Source organism: Homo sapiens, chromosome 9 (genome assembly GCF_000001405.40).
Source record: "Homo sapiens chromosome 9, GRCh38.p14 Primary Assembly".
Classification (NCBI taxonomy): Eukaryota; Metazoa; Chordata; class Mammalia; order Primates; family Hominidae; genus Homo; species Homo sapiens.
Window position 1 is genome coordinate 91,186,449 of NC_000009.12, and position 22,831 is coordinate 91,209,279.

At 43.6% G+C, this 22,831-nt stretch overlaps 1 long non-coding RNA gene across 1 annotated transcript, besides 8 other annotated features; it reads left to right on the forward strand.

Annotated features, from left to right (window-relative positions):
• Positions 1,917–2,086: an enhancer, noted in NCBI's record as "experimental_109153 CRE fragment used in MPRA reporter constructs". NCBI's record gives its function as "activates a minimal promoter by MPRAs in K562 erythroleukemia cells, with activity observed for both the introgressed and non-introgressed 9:93950732 variant alleles {active_cell/tissue: K562}" and the evidence as "EXISTENCE:reporter gene assay evidence [ECO:0000049][PMID:34662402]".
• Positions 5,383–5,552: an enhancer, noted in NCBI's record as "experimental_109154 CRE fragment used in MPRA reporter constructs". NCBI's record gives its function as "activates a minimal promoter by MPRAs in K562 erythroleukemia cells, with activity observed for the introgressed 9:93954198 variant allele {active_cell/tissue: K562}" and the evidence as "EXISTENCE:reporter gene assay evidence [ECO:0000049][PMID:34662402]".
• Positions 6,519–6,813: an enhancer, noted in NCBI's record as "tiled region #6399; K562 Activating DNase unmatched - State 5:Enh, and HepG2 Activating DNase unmatched - State 1:Tss". NCBI's record gives its function as "activates a minimal TATA promoter and a strong SV40 promoter by Sharpr-MPRA in K562 cells, with weak activation in HepG2 cells {active_cell/tissue: HepG2 | K562}" and the evidence as "EXISTENCE:reporter gene assay evidence [ECO:0000049][PMID:27701403]".
• LOC124902208 (uncharacterized) lies at positions 6,574–11,946 on the forward strand. The gene is made up of 2 exons (XR_007061660.1): positions 6,574–6,668; positions 6,930–11,946. It is a non-coding gene; the product is annotated as an uncharacterized LOC124902208 (long non-coding RNA).
• Positions 7,232–7,491: an enhancer, noted in NCBI's record as "active region_28585". NCBI's record gives its function as "activates an Ori minimal core promoter by ATAC-STARR-seq in GM12878 lymphoblastoid cells {active_cell/tissue: GM12878}" and the evidence as "EXISTENCE:reporter gene assay evidence [ECO:0000049][PMID:35858748]".
• Positions 7,232–8,262: a biological region, named in NCBI's record as "H3K27ac-H3K4me1 hESC enhancer GRCh37_chr9:93956125-93956992".
• Positions 7,395–8,262: an enhancer, noted in NCBI's record as "H3K27ac-H3K4me1 hESC enhancer chr9:93956125-93956992 (GRCh37/hg19 assembly coordinates)". NCBI's record gives its function as "activates a minimal SCP1, AML or CMV promoter by ChIP-STARR-seq in naive and primed H9 embryonic stem cells {active_cell/tissue: H9 hESC(naive and primed)}" and the evidence as "EXISTENCE:reporter gene assay evidence [ECO:0000049][PMID:30033119]".
• Positions 9,219–9,513: an enhancer, noted in NCBI's record as "tiled region #9930; HepG2 Activating DNase matched - State 2:TssF, and K562 Activating non-DNase unmatched - State 6:EnhF". NCBI's record gives its function as "activates a minimal TATA promoter and a strong SV40 promoter by Sharpr-MPRA in HepG2 and K562 cells {active_cell/tissue: HepG2 | K562}" and the evidence as "EXISTENCE:reporter gene assay evidence [ECO:0000049][PMID:27701403]".
• Positions 21,969–22,028: an enhancer, noted in NCBI's record as "active region_28586". NCBI's record gives its function as "activates an Ori minimal core promoter by ATAC-STARR-seq in GM12878 lymphoblastoid cells {active_cell/tissue: GM12878}" and the evidence as "EXISTENCE:reporter gene assay evidence [ECO:0000049][PMID:35858748]".

Below are 22,831 nucleotides of genomic sequence, written 5' to 3' on the forward strand. Positions count from 1 at the left end.
TTCATGAAGCCCTTTAGATGACAAGCCCTTCGGCTGCCTCCAGTGATGTGTCCACGAGGGAGGCAGCAGTATCTGCTCCAGGTGAGCAGCCTGAAGACCAGGCACGGGCCCGGGGGAGAAGCCAGGTGGCCCTCAATGCTGGGTGTGCTGTTTTCTGCCTGCCCTGAGCCCAGACCCATTTTCTGTCCTGCCACCATAAGCTGATCACCTGGAGTCCCGTGCCCTCTGGCTCCAGCCAGGTCACTGAGGGGATCAGCAGAAGACTTGGGGTAGCAGGGGAGTTCTCAGAAGGAATAACAGCTTCCTACTTACTCATGGGCACTGGGAGCCACCCAGGTTCTCCATTGGGGACAAAGAATTTCTTCCCCAGGGTGGGGAGGTTGTTGGCCTCCACTGAGAGAGGCAACTGTCCCATGACTCAGCCCTTCCTGGGGGCCCTTTGCCTCCAGCGACTAGTTCATGTGGACCTAAAGCCCCTTGACCAAGCTCAGGAACCCTCTGCAGGGCCATCCAGCTTGGTGTTCCCTGTGGGGTCAGCTAAGGCCACTGTTGTGACTGCACCTCAGCTTCCTCTCCTGCTCCCCACCCTGCCAGGAGGATGTGAGGCAGTTCCCATGCACTGCAGCCATGAGTCATTCTATTACCACCTTTTTAAATTTTTAACAAAGAAATCAAAATCCAGAGAGGCAAGAGACTAAGTTATCAACTGGCAAATGGGAGAGGCAGGTTGAATTCCCACCTGCCCGACTGCACAGTCCATGTTATATGGTGCTTATTTGATTGTAAAGAGATTATGTGCTCTTCTTAGCTGTCAACTGGGGAATAGAGTTGTAGATATTTGAGGTAAAGTTCATTTCTAAAAGTTAGAGGAGTCAGAAAATAGTTGTAAAATCTTCCTTTCAATGGATTAGAAATGCATGTCGTCTCTCACTAGGTGAAATGGGAGGGATAAAAAGTGAACACAGCCTCTCGGGGGGGCTGGAGAGATGGAGTCCCTAGGAAGGTGCAGGAAGGGAGGAATGAAGCCCCCGGGGGAGGTGCAGGGCACTGAGCTTTCCAGATCTTCCAAACTCAGGTCGTCCTCCAGGAAAGATGGGCGCTGACGAAACCTTCCGCCCCAAACCTTACAAAGTACATATCCACAGAAGAGCAACAACAGAAAAATAAAATGCCAGCTGCACTCACAGTGAGAAAGAGGATCAGCCCCACACCATAAAGTTAGAGACAGCTGGTGAGAAGATCCCAGGGCTCCTCCCTGAAGGCCACGCACCTCAGGGAGGTGGACACACCCTGCCCACCAGGAACAGAGGCCACGTAGGGAGAGACTCCAACTCCCACTGAGAGTGGAAGGCCCCTTCTCCCCAGGGGCAGAACAACCGTCAGGACCCCCGCTTGACTGTCTTTGGTGGCAAGCATGGCTGGAGTTGGCCACCCTGAGCTCATTATGTTGAGCACAGAGAAATTTACCACAGGGGAAAGAAAGCAATGCCAGAACCCTGGGCAGCCCAGGAAGAAGGCCACACTAAGCGTCTTGTGTTAAGGGTCCCTTCTCCCACAGATGAGCCATTTCTGGGCTAAAATCCATATAGTTTTGTCCTTTCCCTCCCTAAGCTGTGAAGGAAGTGGGAGCAGTAGACAAAGCTGGGCATCCACCCAGGGCTGGGCAGGTCTGGGGCAGAGGCCTGCATCTCACGCTGAGACAGCATGACTGGACAACCTCAACCCAGTCTGGAATATGGTTGGGCTTAAGGAATCCCAGAAAGGGTCCTCAGCAGCATGACCATATTAGTTTTCTACTGCAACAGTCTTAGTGGCTTCAAATGAACAATTCTTCACAGAACTGTTGTGGGGAGAGGGCTCAATTATCCCTAGACTTCTTACCAGCAATATTTAATGCCAGGAGAAAAGATCCTCAGGATCATCAGAGAGGAAAAAATCGTGCCCAAGAATCTGACACCCAGGTAAGTCATTAATTACTCTAGTCAAAGGCAATAGACACGTATTTTCAAAATTGCCAGGATTCAAGAAATACAGAACATTTTAGGAAAACAAAAGTAAAATAAAATTGCCTAATTAATCAAGAACATAGAAATGGAAAAGCTATGATATGAAGTGAATGAGATTGGATTAATGTAAATTTAGAACACTGAGAATTATGGGAATTACGGTTACAGAAATGAAGGGGAATGTTAATGCTGAAATGAAAATTGATACAAAATGACAAGAGCTTTCTGGCTTTCCTAGCTCTTCTTGTCTAATTAAAATGAATACATGTATATTGTTGTGGTAAGCAGAACACTGGCCCCCAAATATATCCATGCTTGTATTAGTCTGTTTTGCTTGCTATAAAGAAATACCTGAGGCTGGGTAATTTATAAAGAAAACAGGGTTATTTGGCTCATAGTTCTGCAGGCTGTACCGGAAGCATGGCACCAGCATCTGCTCAACTTCTGGTGAGGCCTCAGGAAGCTTACAATCATGGTGGAAGGCAAAGGGGAGGCGGGTGTGTCATATGGCAAGAGAGAGAACAAGAGAGAGAGCAGGGATGTCCCAGACTCTTTCAAACAACTCCATCTCACCTGAACTAACAGAGCGAGAACTCACTTCTTACTGTGGGGAGGGCACCAAGTCCCTTGAGAGGAGTCTGCCCCCATGACCCAAACACCTCCCACGAGGCCCTACCTCCAACCTTGGGAATCACATTTCAACATGGATGTGGAGGGGACACACATCAGCACCATAGCAATGCCCTAATCCCTGGACCCTGTGAATGTTAGGTTGCGTGGCACGGGGGAGTCAAGGTGGCCGATGGAATTCTGGTTGCTAATCAGCTGACCCTGAAGTGGGGAGAGAATCCTGGATCACCCAGGTGTGTTCAGTGTAACCACAGGGTCCTCAGCTGTGGATGAGGAGGCAGGGGTGTCTGGTGTGGTGTGGGAAGAACTCGACCTCCTGCTGCTACTTTGAGCTGGAGGTGAGGACCACGAGACAGGGTGGCCGAAGGCAGCCAGAGAGATGAGGGGAGAATTCTCCTACAGCCTCTGCAAGGAACACAGCCCTGCCAACACCGTCACATTCATCAGTGAGAACCACTTACTTCTAAACTACAGAACTCTCAATGATACATGCATCTGTGTTGTTTGAAATCACTAAGTTTGTAGTAATTTGTTACAGCAGCAATAGAAAATGAATACAATTGTAGAAAAATTAGAATAGGTGCATGTACTATATTTATTACATGAAAATATGATTATATTGTGCTTACTGAACTGTAACCTGCTTTTTCAATATAACAGCACATAGTAAACTTTTTCCTATGATAATTATATGGACACCCCTACAACATGATTCTCAATTGCTGCATAGAGTGCATGAACTTTAATGCATTTATCCCATCTTTCCCATTGACGAAGGCTTCCCCTAACTCCAAGATTAACATTCTCTGTGTACATACTGGGTTATGGCAAATTCCTAGAATTTAAATTGTTTTGTCAAAACCTAGATACTTTCTTGTAATGTATGGCGCTTGACATATAGCAGAATTGACACATAACCCTTCCTGCATAGGACCAGGGGCTGCAGCCTGGGATCCTCCCTGACGCACCATCATTATCATCCCCATTCATTTCTTTGTACGGATCTCAGCATGATTGTATCTTCTGAGGCAGGTTCTTTTCCCACGCCTCTCTCCATTGCCAGGCACTTTCTCTCCAGAACCACATCACTGAGGCAGGTAGCAGTCCCCAGTCCCAGCACAGGTGGTAAGCTCTCTGGACCACAGCAAGCAGCCCAAGGATCAGCCTGCCCCGTCCATGCCAAGACAGTCATTATTTTAAGAGTTCAAAGACCATCAAAGCTTCATTGGCCTGTTCCATTTAATTTGTGAAGCATTATGTCCCTTTTTCCCCCTTTTTTCTTTTTTGAGACAAGGTCTCGCTGTGTCACCCAGACTGGAAGGCAATGGTGCCATCATATCTCACTGAAGTCTCAACCTCCTGGGTTCAAATGATCCTCCCGCCTCAACCTCCCAAGTAGCTAGGACTGCAGGCATGAGCCACCATGCCCAGTCACTGTGTATGTGCTTTTTATTCCTTTTAAAAATTTCATTTTCTCTAAAGATGATGCATTTAGGAACTGGACTTATTGATGGCATCTTTTAAAATTATTTTGAAATATTCAAAAATCTTTGATTCACTGATGTGCTTTTGGTCTGAAGAAGGGGCTGTGAGATTCATCCTGCTAGGTCAGAAAGACACATGGCATTTCCCCACTGTCTTCCTCAGTGTCACCCGCTGGAAGCAAGGGTGTCCAGACCACACTGCAGCTTCCTCGGGAACCTGGGGCTTTTCTTGGCAATATCTAGTGATGTCTGCCTTTAAAAAGAATATGCATGGGCATAGGTTGCGGGGCAGGGGTGGGGGCTTCAGTCCCAACTCAGCCCTTGAGAAACGTAATGAACATAATTCCCCCCACCCCCCAGCCCCTTTTACAAACAGGTCACATTAAGTTAATTTACCAGCTAACACAAGACCATTTGATGGCCGGGCAGTTTCCCATGGGACTGAAAAGGCAGGAGCTGCCAACACTTTCTCTAGGCCCCTCAGTGCCCCAGTGACATCTGCCCAGACCTCGCAGGCACCTCGGCCTTGTCCTTTTTGATGACTGCAGAGAGTTGGTGGTTCCTAGAGCCCAAGGTGGAGGTAACCCTCTGAGACACTGCCTGGCTCTGGAGCCCCTCCCAGCCCCTGGGCAGCTCTCTTCCTCCTTTCTGTCCTCAGATATGTCACCATCCCCAACCCAGGAGAAATCACTCTTCTCCACATTGTGTGTGTGTGTGTGTGTGTGTGTGTGTGTGTGTGTGTGTGTACGCGCGCATGCGTGCACATCTGTGCTTCCTGGGAGCATAGGAAGTAGGAACCAGGATTTGTTTCCATTCTTTTGAGACAGCATTCCCATGGAGGTTAAAATACAGTAAATGCTGAATGGAGAAAGTTTCTAATCCCCAGAATCGCAAATCCTATTGGTGGGCAAATTGTTTTAAAAGAGCTGTTTGGAGTTGAGGCGCACCTGCAAAATTAAACACACCAGGGTGAGAAAGGCTTTCTGGGGGCGGATCTGCAGGACTTGATTTTGCTGAGTTTAATGCCACTCATTTCACTTTCTGTTGGCCAGAGCCCGTTTCCCCTGCTTGAAGGCACAGAACCTTGCTGGGAGCCAGGCAAGCTCTCTGGACGGGATGGGCAGCCCCAGGGCCAGCCATCCCAAGTCTAGGGCTTGCTGGGGCCTAGACTTTTGACCTCCAAAGGGTACGGAGTCTGGGGACCACTCTGCACACCATCCTCCATCCAGAGAGAGGGGCCATTTCCATCCTCATTCGGTTTCCCATATTCAGGGGAACTCCTCTCCAAGAAGAAACAAGGGCTCAGTTCCATTTCTGACTTCTCTCTAGGTCAGCACGTGCGGTCACTTCACAGAAAAATGGTGTGGATGTGCCAGACTGGGGACAAAGGCCCTCTGTTGTCCCCATTACCTGTGGTTTCCTGCCACAAAGGCTACACCAAGTACCTTATAAAGAAGGGCTGAGCGCTTCATGGATTTACTCAAAACCCAGCGCTCTGGGCTACTATGACCCCAGCCACCAACAGGTGTTGAGACTCCCCTGAGGCCCCGCCAAAACTGGCTGGGGTTTCCTCTCCACCTCAGTGCCACCCCTGTCTCCAAGCCCATACTCCCAGGCATCTCTCAATCACTACCTCTACAAGACCCCAGGGTCTGGGTAATGGGGGCTGGCAGAGCCTGGACTCATTCCTGCAATGACGTCGGATACCAGCGGCACCCATTCCCTCTCCAAAGCTCATGTCCACAAGGGCAAACGATAGCATCCCCCTCCACCCCGGCAGTAAGCAGCAGCGAGTCTCACCAATTTGAGAGTCTCTAGAACAACAGATGGTAATTTGTTGACACAAAGATTTAAGGGGACTCAATTACAGTCCCACTGAAAAAGCTCTCTCTAAAATAAGAAAGTATACAGATTCCTCAGCTCGCAGAAATTGCTGACAGCTTTGTTTTCAACCCTCCAGGAGTAAAAAGAAGCTGACAACTTATTTTTGCAGGTTATGCTCATTCAAGTCTATTTTTAGATCTTGTTCCTAAATAAGTACACCAGAATAGCATTCAGTTTGAAAATCACCATCTGTTCAGAGCAATGAGCTTGGCCTCGCTGGGCTGGGTATACCTGGCCCATGGCAAGGTGGCAGTCCCCTTGTGGACTGAACCGAGGGGGCAGTTTCAGGTCTCCAAGTGGTGTTTGAAGAATGCACTAAAAACAGTCACAGGCAGTTGGCATTTTAAATGCCCATTAAACAACTATTAATATATTTTATTTATAAGCTGAGAACCACACAAAAAATGCCCTTGGCTTTTTAAAAAGAAGTTCAAATAATCCCTTGTATTTAAATAGATTTCTTATAAAAAGGCGATCCAGCCTAAGTTTGGTAGTTAAGATAAAAATTAACCTATGGAAAAGAAAGCCAGCTCAGAACGCTATAAAAAGGCCCCTTCCCCCCCCCCCTTTCTTCCGGTGTATGGTGGCCCTCCCCTCCCTCTGCAGCCACTTGGTAGTGACTCACGCTTTTCTTTGGAAATGCAGTTGCTGCGTGAAACACAACGTGAGAATGGGAATCTGACATATGAGTAACCCGGCCGAGAGGCACCTCTTGGAAATGACACTGGGCCTTGGCTAGAATTACGCACAGGCCCTGGGAGGGCTGCGGCTCGTAGGCCCGTAGGGGGCAGGGTGAGGGCGGAGGTCCTGGCGCCCCCAGGCCTGACCCGCCCGCACCGCTGGGCTATTTTTAGCGTCCACTAAACTTAGCCGACTCCACCCTCTTGAATAACCCACATCTTAAAATGCTATTTTTCTCCAACAGGTCAAAAGAATTCTGCGAGTTAGAGCGCAGATTAAGTTGCTAGCGACGGGCATTGAAGGTTTTAGAACCGAGAAAATGAGCCGGTGGCGGGGAGCGCGTCCTCAGCGGCCAGGCCCGGCACGGGGCTCGGGCACTCGGGGACACACGGTGGTCGTCGCTGTGTCTCAGCAGGACCCTGTGCGCTGGAGAGCTTGGGGCCGCGAGTCGCGCAGCAAGGAGGCTTCTGGCTTCTCTATTTTTAGCCTCTGAACGTTTTCCAAAATAATTACCAAAAGGAAATACACACGCACACATGGACCTAACACACAAAACGTCCTTCTGCGGGAAGCCAGCACTAGGAAAGAAAAAAAAAAAAATCCGAAGTGAAATTATGACACAGGGTTTTGTAACCCGCGGTGGCGCGCTTCTGAAACCCGAGCCCGGCAGCGGCTTCTTATCTGCACCGCGTTCCAGGAAGCAGCCGGCGTTTCGGCCGCGCAAGGGCAGCCGCCGCACGTAGGCAGCGTCCCCCAGCCCGGGACCCGCAGGAATGCGAGGGGCAAGACAGATCGCCGGAGGAGCAGGGGTCAGAAGTCAGTGTTTAACCACTCACTGGCTTTCGGTGAAGCCAGAATGTTAGCAGCGAGTCGCGGTCGGGGGCCTTGGGGTTGCACACGCTTGCTCCAAGCACCGAGGCTCAGCTGAGCACATGCACAACCCTCTCGATGCAGCGGAAAGTCGTGTGGCTTAGGGCCGCACCCCGAATTTCGCCGCACCCGCCGCTGTGCCATTTACAACCCCCCACCCCGCCACTGCTGTCACGTAGCAATCAAGAGTAAAGGTTATCACAAAGTCTGTTCTTCGAAGGAAAGAGTTGGAATCAAGGACTTCGGACGGGAGGAAGTTGGTAAGTTACCGCTTCCTCCCTCCTGTTTTCCTCTCCTTGTTTAACTTCTCACAAGAACATGTGGCAGCGCTGCAGGTTAACTCATCTTACATAACTTCGGGGCCGTGTCAACTGTTCAGAAGAAAGAAAAACAAGTATTCTCTTCTGTAGAAGTTGTATTTAGAAACAGGCTCTGTTGTTTAGGACAAGTTCACTTGTGTTGCCTGATCACTTGCAGCAGAAAATCTTAGAACTGCTCCTCAAGCAACAAAAAGTAGGGGCTCCCATTTCCATCTTTCTTTCTTTTCTTTTTCTTTCTCTCTCTCTCCTTCCCTCCCTCCCTCCTTCCTCTCTCTCTCTTTCTTTCTTTCTGATGGAGGCTTGCTCTGTCGCCCAGCTGCAGTGCAGTAGCACGATCTCAGCTCACTGCAACCTCCGCCTCCCGGGTTCAAGCGATTCCCCTGCCTTAGCCTCCCGAGTAGCTGGGACTACAGGTGCGCACCACCACGCCCAGCTAATTTTTTGTATGTTAGTAGAGATGGGGTTTCACTATGTTGGCCAGGATGGTCTCGATCTCCTAACTGCGTGATCCGCCTGCCTCGGCCTCCCAAAGTGCTGGGATTACAGGTGTGAGCCACTGTGCCCAGCCGGGCTCCCATTTTTCTGAATATGAACTTCAAAATAGTTTGAGGAGCCCAACATGAGAGTAACTGGACAATTGTCTTCCTCTGAGAAAACAAAATGACAAACAACCAACATGAATCAAATGATGACTTGGTATTTCATTAAACACAACTCTTACAGCACCAGGAAGACAGTAGCCCATTTTGTGCCAAGCGTATTTACTCAGTTGGTGGCAATAGGGGTTTGGAGAATCTTGCATTGTGGTTTGCTGGGGTCCACAAGCCACACATCGGGTGTCTGGCCATCCTGCATGTCCAAAGGTGAACAAAGAAATGCACTAATAACCTAGAGACACAGGGACAAGAACAAGCCCAGTAATACCCATGTAGCCGTCTGCTAGAATTGAAAGCCAGGTATGGTGGGCTTCTACCCCACCCCAATCACGACGTCCTAATGAGGGCTACCAACTACCAATTACCACACCTCCCCCCTGGCCTAGGGCCCTCATCCTCCCCAAACATCTCTGAGCAGAGTGGCAATTAAGAGCACCCTGCTCTGTGGCTGGGAGCCTGGGAGCTGCCAGGGGCCATATCCTCCTACCACAGGGGAAGCTGGATAGCAGAGGAGATGGGGAGATGGGAGAAGAAAGACTGAGTTCCCAGAGTCCTGAGACAGCAGTCCAGTGGCTCCCTGGCTGGGCACAGGGAGTCCCTTTTCCTGACTCGTTCAGTTCAAGCTGGGTCTGTTACTTGCCTCCAGAAGAGTTTTGATACAGGTGTTGGCACCTTCTCAATGCCCTGTCTCCATGGTTGACCCACTTCCCTGACAGTGCCTTGAGCTCCTCCCCTGATCTGGGCTGGTCCAGGCCCTTGCTGGGGGACGCCACGTGCTAGGGTAGACCAGAAGTCCCTTCTTGGAAGCCCTACTTCCTGTGGTTCTTAGATGCCATGTGGCTGACATCTGGAGAGAGGGTGGACTATGGACTCCCTCCCCACATGAAATCTATGAAAGGCCAAATAAGGTTTAAGAGGTCTGTTCTCAGCCCCTGACAACCTCCAGGACTCTCTAAGACTGCACGAACAAAAATGAAGTAGTGCATGGACCAATGAGGTGATAAGACCCCAGCGGAAAAATTTTCTCCAATATTCCTCTAGGAAAGAGTCCTAGCAGCAAGAACATTGGTCACGAGATTGGCCAAGGGATCAATCAACTCTCTAGTCCCTTCCCGTGATGTGAAATGCGGTGTGGGCTGGAGCCCTTGTATGCTTTGCCCCCAGTAGGCGGTTGCCTCCCTCACTGGGCACTGAGGCCATAGGCCGCTTTGTTCTGCAGAGCCACGCCTGGCCTCTAGAGGAATGGATGTGACCTAGAGATCTGGACTCAGAGCTGGGCAGAACCCTGGGGTGATGCTTACTGAGCAGGATGCCCAGGTTTGTGACTGTGTCTATGAGAGGCCTTAAGGCATGTAGGGGTCATCTGGGGGAAAGGACGGCTGACTGAGTCAAGGTTGGCCTGGGTGGCTGCTTTGTTTTTGGGTCCATGACAGCAGCCCTCTCTTCTCCTGAAGAGATCTCCCTCCTCCAATCATAGTACCCCACCACCCTGGCCACAGGGAGGCCATATGATCTGAGCTAGGCCTATCAGAGGCCTTTCCTGGGAGTTTCTGAGTTCAAAGTGAGTGAAGAGCATGACCCCTCTTTCCTGCTGGGGGGCCATGCAGTTGGGAGCTGTCATCAGGTGGAGCTGGTCTACAGGGACAGGCCCAAAGGATGGAGCCACATACCAGAGACTACAAACACATGGTGGGGAGTGGAGTGTCCTGGCAGCCCTGTGACTCCGGCTCCCCTGTCTTTCCACAGTTTGGGGCTGAGAGCCAATGAAGTTTCCTTTCGTCTAAGCTACTTTGGTTGACTTTCTGCCATCACAATACAGTCTTCGTGCACCCAGTATTTCAGACTGCACTCAACTGCTAAGATTCAAACTTCAACAAAATGCAGAATTTTAGTTGTTTACCTTTTTAGTTACATGGACTCAAAAACAAGCATCACCATAACTTTCCACTGTGTGTGACAATATAAGAGTCATATCTTTGTGGCTCCAAAAATGTTTAAAAAAGCAACTAGTATATTCAATATTTAGCTCATAAGAGCTAAGCACTGTAAAATACGTCTGACATCTTCAACATCAAACTAGAATAAAGGTAAAATTAAAATAGGGTAGAAGAGTGTTCATGCATGATCCAATCTCACATGAAACCCTAGTCCTAAAAAAAAGGCAACTCCCAAATAGGTGTCTTGATTTCACCCAGTGGCTTTAAAATAGTTCTTAATCATGTATGCATTAAGAAGCCAAAACTCATTGTTATTTCTGAAGCACATTATTTTGAAATTCTGTTTAAATCTTCCATATTTGTATGATGAAAGTTATGTCACAAAGTTAATCATTCCCAGGATGCTTGCAGTAGGGGTAATGAAAAACTTCTTGTGCAAGCGGCCATTAATCAGCAGTGTAACATTGCATAACGTGCTCCAAAGCACGTGTCATGGGATCAGAGTACACAGCTGCATAATGCAGGCCAGTGTCTGTGCCTCCTGCTGACCTTTTCCAATGCAGAACTCGAACCATGTGATGCATGCTTCTTGCCAAGTCACTTATTGCCAATGATTAAGTTGGATGATATGGAGAAACATAAATTTCTTTCTTTCTTTTTTTTTTTTGGAGTTCTAAAAGGAAGACTCTTTGAAGTCCCTGGCTTCTGGCACAGTGTTGTTGCTGGCTTGGTTATATTACTCTTGATCATTATAAAAACTCTCCATTAAAACTGATATCAAATATTTTGCTCAAGTGGTTCCTGGCATTTGCATTAGAAACAATAGACATACCCCCACAAGAAGAGTATTTTATATGTAAGCAACGCAAAAAGTCAAAGACGCTAGAAGCCAAAGACATACATATATCAAATCCCAATCCATCACGTTTGATGTTCTTGAGCAATACTGTTAGCGAGAAACTATTACTTAATCTTGCTAGTATTATCCAAAGAGAACACTTGCGAAATACTTAAGACAAACATGCTGTAATTATTACATGAATAAAGAGCTTGTGTAGCATAAACTGTTTTTGTAACATCAACACAAATTCTGTTGGAGCAGGCTAATAATTAGCCGTGGTAACAACAATGGCCACTGTGTTTGAGAAGCTCTGAGAGGTAACAGTGCTGCCGGAGGTGAGATGACTCACGCGTTATCTTCTACCCTCAAAGTAGCCTTGGTGTAGAGGGACTGTTTTCAATAATATCTTAACCTAGAAAGTCTTCTGAAATTTCACCAAGGGCTAATTATACATTCTAGTACCAACTAGAATATATCTGGTTCCCTAACATATATTGGAAATTAAATTTCATCTTCATTTTACTTTTTTTTTTTAAGGAAAGGACTCTTCGATTTGATTACTAGCAAACTCTTACTGTACATGAAATCCTGTTCAAGGTCTGAAAGCTCAAATTAATAAATGATTTTGTCATCATAATCTAAATGTCTAACAGTGGAACATGAATTTAACAGTGTGGAAGAAAAGTTGTCCTAAAACATAAGACATCTATATGTGCTGGGATTTCAATACTTTTTATTTTTACTACTTGAATGCTGCATTTATGCATTGCTTTGCTTTGGTTTATGGCTGTTAGTTTAGCAACTAAGGGCTGAATGAACAGATCCCTCACAGATCATCCAACCTCATGACCAGGCAAGGGGAGCCTCAGCTGGAGCAGCCTATTTCTGTTTCCTGGGTCTAGACTCAGAGCAGACATTTAAAAGACAATACAGCAGTAAATCCTCTCCTACCTTGACTACAACTAAACCTGACATTTGGGAAGTGAGGTATAGTCAATAGTTTGGGCTGTAATAATAATTCAATAAATATCAGTTTTGATGTACCAGAAGTCAGAAAGCTACCTTGTACACCTTGCCAGTAACAGCCCATGGTATACCTGGTTGCATTAGAATCAGCTGGGGAGGGGGAAGGGATGTCAGTGGGAATAGTGCAGTGAGAACCTCCAGAAAATCTGCTCCTCCATATAAACAATGAGAACATCGCCAAAGATTGTAAAAAAAAAATTGTCAAAACTTTTTCAGAACCCCAGAAATTAGCCAAAAGCTTGCAACAACCTGAGAAGCATTCATTCACGAAAAGTGGCTGAATCTCAGTAAGAACAAGCTTTGTGGCATTTTATTTGTTTTGTTATTGTTGTTGTTTTTTGAGGTGGAGTTTCATTTTTGTTGCCCAGGCTGGAGTGCAATGGCATGATCTCGGCTCACTGCAACCTCCGCCTCCTGGGTTCAAGCAATTCTCCTGTCTCAGCCTCCTGAGTAGCTGTGATTACAGGCGCCCACCACTACACCCAGCTAATTTCTGGTATTTTTAGTAGAAATGGGGTTTCACCATGTTGGCCAGGCTGGTCTCAAACTCCTGACCTCAGGTGATCCGCCTGCCTCGGCATCCCAAAGTACTGGGATTATAGGCCTAAGCCACCACACCGAGCCACTTTGTGGAATTTTAACTTGCCCTATTCCACTCCCTCTTCCCAGAGCCACACACACCTTGAAAACTAATAGTCTCACACTTACGGCAGCCATGAAAACCAGCAGCCACCATAGGAGAATGAATGTCTTTGTGGCATCCCCAAAGCCCTATTCCCAGAAACTTGTCATTATCTGATATGTCCAGCAGTTCTCTGGTGTTTTAATAATGGGGAAAACCCCCATTCACACGGCTTGTCTTTATTTGACCTAACTTAGGACCTCATTCATTGTAGAGAGCTTTTTCCTGCAGGGTGTTTAAGGAAAAAAATCAGTGATGATTGTTTAGCATCAAAGCTGCCTGAGTTGGGGCAAATAAGAAGCTGACCAAAAAACATAAAAACAGAAACTGGGGAATGAGATGTCCATAGAGGGCTATGAAAAGCTCTGACATATTCCTAGAAATCTAGAAGGCCATGTGCATGTGAGGGCTGTATGCAAGCTCAGGGAAGACTTGAGAAGGCCCTAGCTCTCACCTCTGGCTGACCTTAAGGCTCTGCACAAGGAGGAAGTGAAGGCTAAGGCCGAGTTGCCAATTGCCTGTCAGTGTATTGAAGGCATGCCCCAACATAGAGAGCCCTTCAGCAAGAGCTGGAGATTTACTGGTTCAAGGCATTTAAGGAAATCTGAGTCCAGTCAAGAGCTGAACACTAAAATAACCAAGCAGAGACTTCAGGAACCACACACAACAAAACACACAGAATTAGTTCAGGAAAGTCCATACACAAATAGCAACAATAACAAACAACTGTGAACCTAGGATGGGACAGAGGATCATCTGATTTCTAGAGTTGCCATGTTATATTATTTAAAATGTTCATTACTCAATAAAACATTGTAAGAAATCTAAAGAAATAAAGTATGACTCATACAAGGAACTGAAACATTCAATGGAAACTGTTCCTGAGAAAGCTCAGATGTTAAATGTATTAGAAAATATTTTAAATCAGCTATTTTAAATATATTCAAAGAACTAATGAAAAGTATGAGAATGATGCCTCACCAACTTGGAATATCAATAAAGACAAAACATTTTAAAGAGGACCAAAGAATAATTCTAAAATTGAAATGACAATAACTGTAATGCAAAACCCACTAGATGGTCTCAAAAGCAGATTTGAGATGGCAGAGGAAAGAAGGAGTAAACCCAAAGGCTTATCAATAGAAATTACTAAATCTGAAGAGTAGAGAGAAATAAGATTAAAGGAAAATAATCAAAGGTCTTGTTCAAAGGTCAAGAGACCTATGGGATGCCATCAAGTATACCAACATATGCATAATGGGAGTTCCAGAGAGAAAGGAAAGAGAGAAAGGGGTAGAAAAAGTATTTGAGAAGATAATGGCCAAAAGGTTCCCAAATGTGACAAAGACATGAGTCTACACAACCAAGAGCCCAACAAAACAGAGTCAACTCAAAGAGATCCGCACTGAGACATATTATGCTCAAATTGTCAAAAGACAAAGACAAAAAGAGAATCTTGAAAGCATCAAGAGAGGTGACCCATCATGCACAAGAGATTCACAATAAAATTAAGATAGCTTTTCATCAGAAACCATGCAGGCCAAAAGGCAGTGGGATGACATATTGAAAGTGCTGAAGGAAAAAGGCTTCAATCAAGAACCCTATGACTAACAAAATCATCCTTCAAAAATGAAAGAAAAATTGAGACATTCCAAGATAAATAAAAATTGAGAATTTGTCCCTAGCGGACCTGCCCAACAGGAAATACTAAAGGGAGTGCTTCAGATTGAAATGAAAAGATACTAGAAAGTTACTCAAATCCACAGTTTTTAAAAAAAAGAGTGTTGGTAAAGGTAACTATGTATATAAGAGACAGTGTAAGTATATTTTTCATTTGTAACTTTCATTTCATTTGTAACTTCTTTTTCTCCAATTAAAAGACAACTTCATAAAGCAATAATTATAAACTGTTCTGATGAACTTACAGTGCATAAAGATTTAATGTGTATGACAATAAAAGCACAGAGGATGGGGGAAGATACAATGCTACATAGGAGCAAAGAATTTGTATACTGTTGAAATTAAGTTGGTATTACTCCATAAGATTGTGTAAGTCAAGATGGTAATTGTAATTTCCAGAAAAGCTATTAACAAGTCAAAAACATATAGCAAAAGAAATGACAAAGGAATTAAAATGGTAGTTGAGTACACAGGAAAATATCCATTAAGCACAAAGAAGGTAGTAATGGAGAAAGAAACAAAAAGGCATGGCATGTAGAAAACAAATAGCAAAATGCCAGATATAAACCCTACCTCATCAATAATTATATTAAATGTAAATGGTTAAACACTATAATTAAAAGGCAGAATGAGCCTTTACATTTAAAAACATGACTTGACATTATGCTGTCTACAGGAGATCACTTTAGATTCCAAGACTCAAATAGGCTGAAAGTAAAAACGGGGTAAAATATACTATGCAAAAAGTGACCAAAAGAGAGCTGAAGTGTCTATACTAATATTAGACAAAATAGACTTAAGGATAAAATGGTTAAAATGGATAAAATGGTTACTAGAGAAAAAGCATATTTTATCATGATAAAAGGGTTAATCCATCAAGAAGACATAATTATAATCATATATGCATCTAACAGCAAAGCCCCAAAATACATGAAGTAAATACTAATAGAATTACAGGAATAATAATAAACTATTATGGTTGAATAATAAACAAGTCAACAATAATATGCCTACTTCAGTATCTCACTTTAAAAAATGGATAGAACAACTAGACAAAAGATCAACAAGGAATAAAAGAATGAAACAACAAAACCAAGAAGACCTAACAGACATCTATTGAACACTCCAACAATAGCAGAATATGCATTCTTCCCAAGTGCACATGGAACCTTCTCCAGGATAGACCATATGGTATGCCATAAAACAAGTCTCAATAAAATGAAAAAGACTGAAGTTTATACAAAGTATGTTTGCCAACTATAATGGAATGAAATTTGAAATCAGTAAAAAAAGGAAATTTGGAAATTCACCAGTATGTGGATTAAAGAACACAATCCTAAAAAAAGGGGAGTCAAAGAAAAAATATCACAAGAGAAATTTAAAAATACTTTGAGATGAATGAAAACAAAACCACGTGTCAGAAGTTCAGTAAATCACTAGTTAGACTTAAAGGACTCAGTCATACTCATAGCTATTATTTATTATAGCAAAAGGATACAAAGTAAAAACAGCAAAGGGAAAAAATGCAGGGTAGAGATGGGGGAGACCAGTTGCAAGCTTCCACGGGTCCTCTCCTAGTGGAGTCCCTAGGATGTATTTAATTCCCCAGCAACAAATTATTAATGTAACAACACATGAAATGTTGTGAAATGTTGCCAACATCTCATTAGAGACTGAAAGCCCAGAGTTTTTGCTGGGGGCTAGCCATGTAGGCATATTCCACCTGGCAAATACCCAAATTCCATCTTCCTAAAAAGAAAGCATGTGTTTAGTATAAACCATATGGTTTGTACAGTTTAGATATAACTCTTATAAGGTCTGGGAATGCTGATAAGCTCCCAAAAGCCAGCCAAGGACCAGCCCTGCAATCAATCCTTCCCAGTGATAGCCATTCAGGTCTGCTATGTTAACTCTTTTCTACAAACAACATACCAAAACTTACAGGATGCTGCTAAAGCAGTGCTTAGAGGGAAATGCATAGCTGCAAATGTCTATATTAAAAGGAATAAAGATCTCAAATCAATAACTTAATGTCCTATGTTAAGAAATTAGAAAAATAAAAGCAAACTAAACCTAAAGCAAGCAGAAGGAAGGATATAATAAAGTTTAGAATGGAAATAAATGAATTATGGAATAAGAAAAACCATCAAGAAAAATCAATGACATGAAAAGTTGGTTTTTTGAAAAGATCAGTAAAACTGATAAACCTAGCTAGACTGACCAAGAAACAAAGATAGAAATATTAAAACCAGGAATGAAAAGTTGGGAGTGGGAGTGGGGGGGATTATTATTGACTTTATAGAAATAAAAAAGAATTATAACGGAATACTACAAACAAGTATATGTGAACAAATTAGATAACCTAGATCAAATAGAAAAATTCTTAAAAAGGTACAAACTAGTGAAAGTTCTTCAAAAAGAAATAAAAAATAAGTAGAAAGCTGTAACAAATAAAGAGACTGAGTTAGCAATCAAAGCACTTCCAACAAAGAAAAGATATGATCCACATGATTTTGCTGGTGAATTCTACCAATATATATTTTTTTGTTTTTTTGAGACGGAGTCTTACTCTGTCACCAGGCTGGAGTGCAGTGGTGCAATCTCAGCTCATTGCAACCTCTGCCTCCCTGGTTCAAGCGATTCTCCTGACTCAGCCTCCCAAGTAGCTGGGACTACAGGTGCCTGCCACCATGCCCAGCTAAGTTTTGTATTTTTAGTAGAGGCGGGGTTTCACCATGTTGGCCAGGATGAGCTTGATCTCCTGACCTCGTGATCCGCCCACCTCGGCCTCCCAAAGTACTAGGATTACAGGCGTGAGCCATTGTACCCGGCCTCTATCAACTGTTTACATTAGAATTAGCACCAATCCTACACAAACGCTTCTAAAAATAGAGAAGGAAATGCTTCCTAAATCATTCTATGAAATCAGTATTACCCAGAGACCCAAACCAGTGAAAGACATCACAAGGGAACTGCAGACTAATATTTTTATGAAGACAGACCCCAAAATTCTGAACCAAATGCCAGCAAGCCACATCCAGCAACATAAAAAAAAGAGTATACACCATGACCAAGAGATTTATCCAAGAAATGCAAGTTGGTGCAATATCTGAAAGTTAATCAGTGTGGTAACAATTATCAATAGAAGACAAATCCACCACAACATGCTCCTTTCAATAGATGCAGAAAAGGCATTTTTACAAAATCCAACACCCATAACACCCATTCTTGATTTAAAAAAAAAAACAAACACTCAAGAAAGTACAAATAGAAAGGAATTTTCTCAACCTGATGAAGGGCCTCCATAAAAAAAAAATCCACTGTTCACATTATAAGTAATAGTCAGGAATAAGGTCAGGGATAAGACAAGATGTCTGCTCTTGCCATTTCTATTCAACATTACACTGGAGGTTTTAGCCAGGGAAATAACACAAGAAAAAAATATAAAGGCGTCCAGATTGGAAAGGAACAAGTAAAACTATCTCTTTGCAAATGACAGGATCCTATAGAAACTCCTAAGGAAACCACTAAAAGAAGATTAGAACTAAAAAATCAGTTCAGAGTAAATAACTGTGCTTCTGCCAGACATCAAGATATAAAAATCTGTTGTAATTCTATGAACTAGCAATGAACAATCCAAAAATAAAATCAAGAAAACAATCCCATAGGGACATGGATGAAGCTGGAAACCATCATTCTCAGCAAACTATCGCAAGGACAAAAAACCAAACACCGCATGTTCTCACTCATAGGTGGGAATTGAACAATGAGAACACAGGGACACAGGAAGGGGAACATCACACACTGGGGCCTGTTGCAGGGTGGGGGGAGGGGGGAGGGATAGCATTAGGAGATATACCTAATGTTAAATGACGAGTTAATGGGTGCAGCACACCAACATGGCACATGTATACATATGTAACAAACCTGCACGTTGTGCACATGTACCCTAAAACTTAAAGTATAAAAAAAAAAAGAAAAAACAATCCCATTTACAGTAGCATCAAAAAGAATAAAATACTCTAGCTGGGCATGGTGGCTCATGCCTGTAATCCCAGCACTTTGGGAGGCTGAGGCGGGAGGATCACTTGAGATCAGGAGTTTGAGACCAGTCTGGCCAACATGGTGAAACCCCGTTTCTACTAAAAATACAAAAATTAGCTGGGTGTGGTGGCAAGTGCCTGTAGTCCCAGCTGCTTGGGAGGCTGAGGAAGGAGAATTGCTTGAACCCAGGAGGCAGATGTTGCAGTAAACAGAGATCACATCACTGTACTCCAGCCTGGGTGACAGAGTGAGACTCCATCTCAAAAAAAAAAAAAAAAAAAAAAAGAATAAAATATTCAGGAATAAATCTAACAAAAGAAGTTGAAGACATACAAGACATACAGAGGCAACTACAAAACAGATGAAAGAAATCAATGAACTAAATAGAAAAAAACATTTTATGTTCATAGATAAGACAATATTGTTGAGGGTACATCTGTCCCCAAACTGATCTACAGATTTAACATAATGCCTTTCAAAATCCTAGATGCGTTTTTCGGGGTAGAAATCAACAAGCTAATCCTATAATTCATATGAAAACACAAGGGAACCAGAATAGCCAAAATACTCTTGAAAAAGTTGACAGACTCTCACTTTCTAACTTCAAAACTTACTACAAAGCTCTAGTAATCAAGATAGTGTGGTACTGGCATAGGACAGACAGAAGATCAATGGGGTAAAATTGAGAGTTTGGAAATAAACTCTTACATTTATAGTTAACTTTTTTTTTTTGACAAGGGTACCAAGACAATAAATGGGGGAAAACAGTCTTTTCAACAAATGGTGCTGGAATAGCTGGATATCAATGTGCAAAAGAGTGAAGCTGGATGCTTACCTCACACCATATATAAAAAATTTATCAAAAACATAAATATAAAAGTTAAAACTATAAAACTCTTTGATGAAAACTTTTTATCACCTTGGATCAGGCAGTGGTTTCTTAGATACGACACCAAAAGTACAAGCAATAAAGGAAACAATAAACTGGACTCCACCAGAATAAAAACTTTTATGCTTCCAAGCATACCAACAAGAACATGGAGAAACAACCTACAGAACAGAAAAGATTTGCAAATCATATATCTGTTAAGGGGCTTGTATACAGTATACATAAAGAACATTCACAACTCAATTTTTGTCTGTTTTGCTCAGTTAGAAATGGGCAAAACAGATATATCTCTAAAGACTATATAAATGGCCAACAATTATATGAACATCTGTTCAACATCATTAGGGAATTGCAAATCAAAATCACAATTACAATAAGATACCAGTTCACACTCACTAGATTGGCTATAATCAAAAAGATCAATAACAAATATTGATGAAGATGTGGAAAAATTAGAACCCTATTCATTGCTGGTGGGATTACAAAATGGTACAGCTTGTTGGTTTTGTAGTTTTTCAAAAAGTTAAACATAAAGTTGTCATATGATCCAGTAATTCCATCTGTAGGTATGCCCAAGAGAAATAACATGTACCCACACAAATACTTGTACACACATGTTCATAACAGCATTATTTGTAACAGCCAAAGTGGAAACAATACAAGTATTCATCAATTGATGAGTAGATAACAAAATATGACATATACATACAATGAAGTATTTTCAGTGATAAAAAGGAAAGAAGTACTGAGACACACTACACTGTGGACAAATCTTGAAAATTTTTATGCTAAATGAAAAAAAAACAGATACAAAAGTCTACATATTATATAATTCCATTCATATGAATGTCTCAAATAGGCAAATCCATAGAGACAGAAAGTAGATTAGTGGTTGCCAGGGGCTTGGGGGTGGAGGGAATGGGCAAGGGAGTGACTACTCATGAGTACTAGGCTTGTTGGGAGGCAATGAAAATATTCTGAATTAGCTAGTGGTCATGGCTGTACAACTCTGAATATACTAAAAAACCACTGAATTGTACAATTTAAAGAGTGGCTTTTATGGTATGTGAATTATATCTAGAAAAATAAAATCGCCAAGTTCTATTTTTCCTCAACATTGATTCTAGAGTTCCAAACCCAGAATCCTGATGAGAGGTTATGGAATGGAGTCCAAGAATACAATACCTCTTACAGGTACCAGCAGTTTTGGGAATCCCTGCCCTTGGGTGGGTCTGAGGAATAGACAAGATGAGGTCCCGCTCACAGACATGGCCCCCACTCCACCTCTGCTGCAGGTGACAGAGCACGAGAGGTAGGGCTGGACCAGGGCCGAGATTCGGCTCTTTTCTCTGGTACCATAGCCCCTACGCTGCTCATCACGTTTACATTTGAAGACTAGTTTATCCCCGGGGGAAACTCAAAACAATTTTAAATGTTAGGTATGTCAAGTTTTTCAGGACAGTCAACATATATCTTCCTATCTACACATGCAAGCATTTTTAATACGCATGAAGCACATGTGGGCGTACATAAGCTGCAAGTCTAGGGAAGCAAAGCAAGCACCGAGGGCTTGGAGTTTTGAGGTTACCGAGCCATTCTGAGCCTGGACTAATGAGATCACACCACAACTGAACTCAGAAGTACCAGGGCCATGGATAGTCTAGGATAAACACTCTCTCTGAGTCCTCTCAGAAGAGTGGTTTAGCAATCTCGACTCATACCATGCCTTCCCACAAAGACCAGAGGAAAAGAAAGGAGCTTTTCAGTGTTATTTGCAAGCCAATACTGGTGTTAGGCAAGCATATAACAGAGCCACCGTAGGTATTAAGAACAAATACTCCAATCACATCTTCCAATAATTAGAGTTTCCTTCCACCAAGATGAATGTGAGCTGTCATTTCCTAGCTCTTATGGCGTGTGACACATTTCTTGTACTTACATTTTTAAATAACTCAAATTACAGTCACTCTTACACAAGTTCTAGGCGTCATAAAAAGCATGTTTCAGGAAAGTGTTAATAGACAACTCAAAAGAAATGTTACTCAATGCAGCCGAGGCTATTAGGAGCTCGAACTTCTCTCTCTTGCCAAACAGTTCTTCACTTTCTGTAAACTGCACAAAGGTTTCATTCAACACAGTTTGAAGGCTGAAAGTGAAAGTGACTCAGACTATTTTTGGAAAGGTCAAGAAAGTGCACCTGCCAATTTTCAAATTTCTCTGAAACCTTTTCCTGCAAACATCACCACTAAAGCTACGTAGTCCCTGAGCTGCAACTTGATGATGTGGTGATTTTACTATTTCTCTTGGGAGGTTCAGGTACACACTGTGCCGTGGGTTCATGGGAGACTTTGTTCAGACAGCATTTTACACGACAGTCTGTTTAAATGCTTTAGGGGACCAAAACATCTAAAGGTACCTTGGCAGCAAGATGGGGGAATGAACTGAAGCCTAGGAAGGAAGCCTGGCCTGCCCTTGGCCTGACCACAGCCACCGCAGGGCTAGAGTCCTCCAGTATCTCCTGAGGTGGGGAGCAGGTGGGCCGCTCCATGAAAACCAACTAGATGATGGGAAAATGGACAGCTTTGCTCAGGGCAATCTTCCCACCCTGGCCCCCAAAATTGGTACTATAAACATGGCACTCAAACATGAGAATGATTTCTTAAAATGTTAGAGGAACTAAAACTCCTTAAATTGTAGATTACCTCAAGGGCCAATATAGTTAACCAGACACACCTTAGGCAGATACCTGTTTTCTCTGTCTCTCAAGGCCCAACTCACTAGTGACCAGTATTTGTAAGGAGACCCATCTTTCTCATCTGCTAAATCCATGCCAGTGTTAGAGGCCTGCACCAGTCAGAGTCTGCGCCAGTGCTGGAGGCCTGCAGTCTGCTTTCACTTCACAAAAACCGTCTAAGTTGGAAGAACTGTCCTCTGGTGCCTCTTAACTTCCCGCAGCAATGGCCCTGCCCATGCCTGCCCACTTTCTGCTCTAACACTCCAGAGGCAGTGGGCAGCTTTTGGACCTAGGAGGGTGTAAGTAACTTCCCTGCATAGACTTTAGTCAACATCTCTTGTCTCTGGACAAGCGCAGAGCAACAAGCAGAAGTGGGGAGGTGGGGAGGAGCCCTGCATGGTTTCCCCTCGCCCTGGAAGCCTCTGAAGACCTGTTTCATATTGCAGTTCTACTGGAGGCAGCTACCA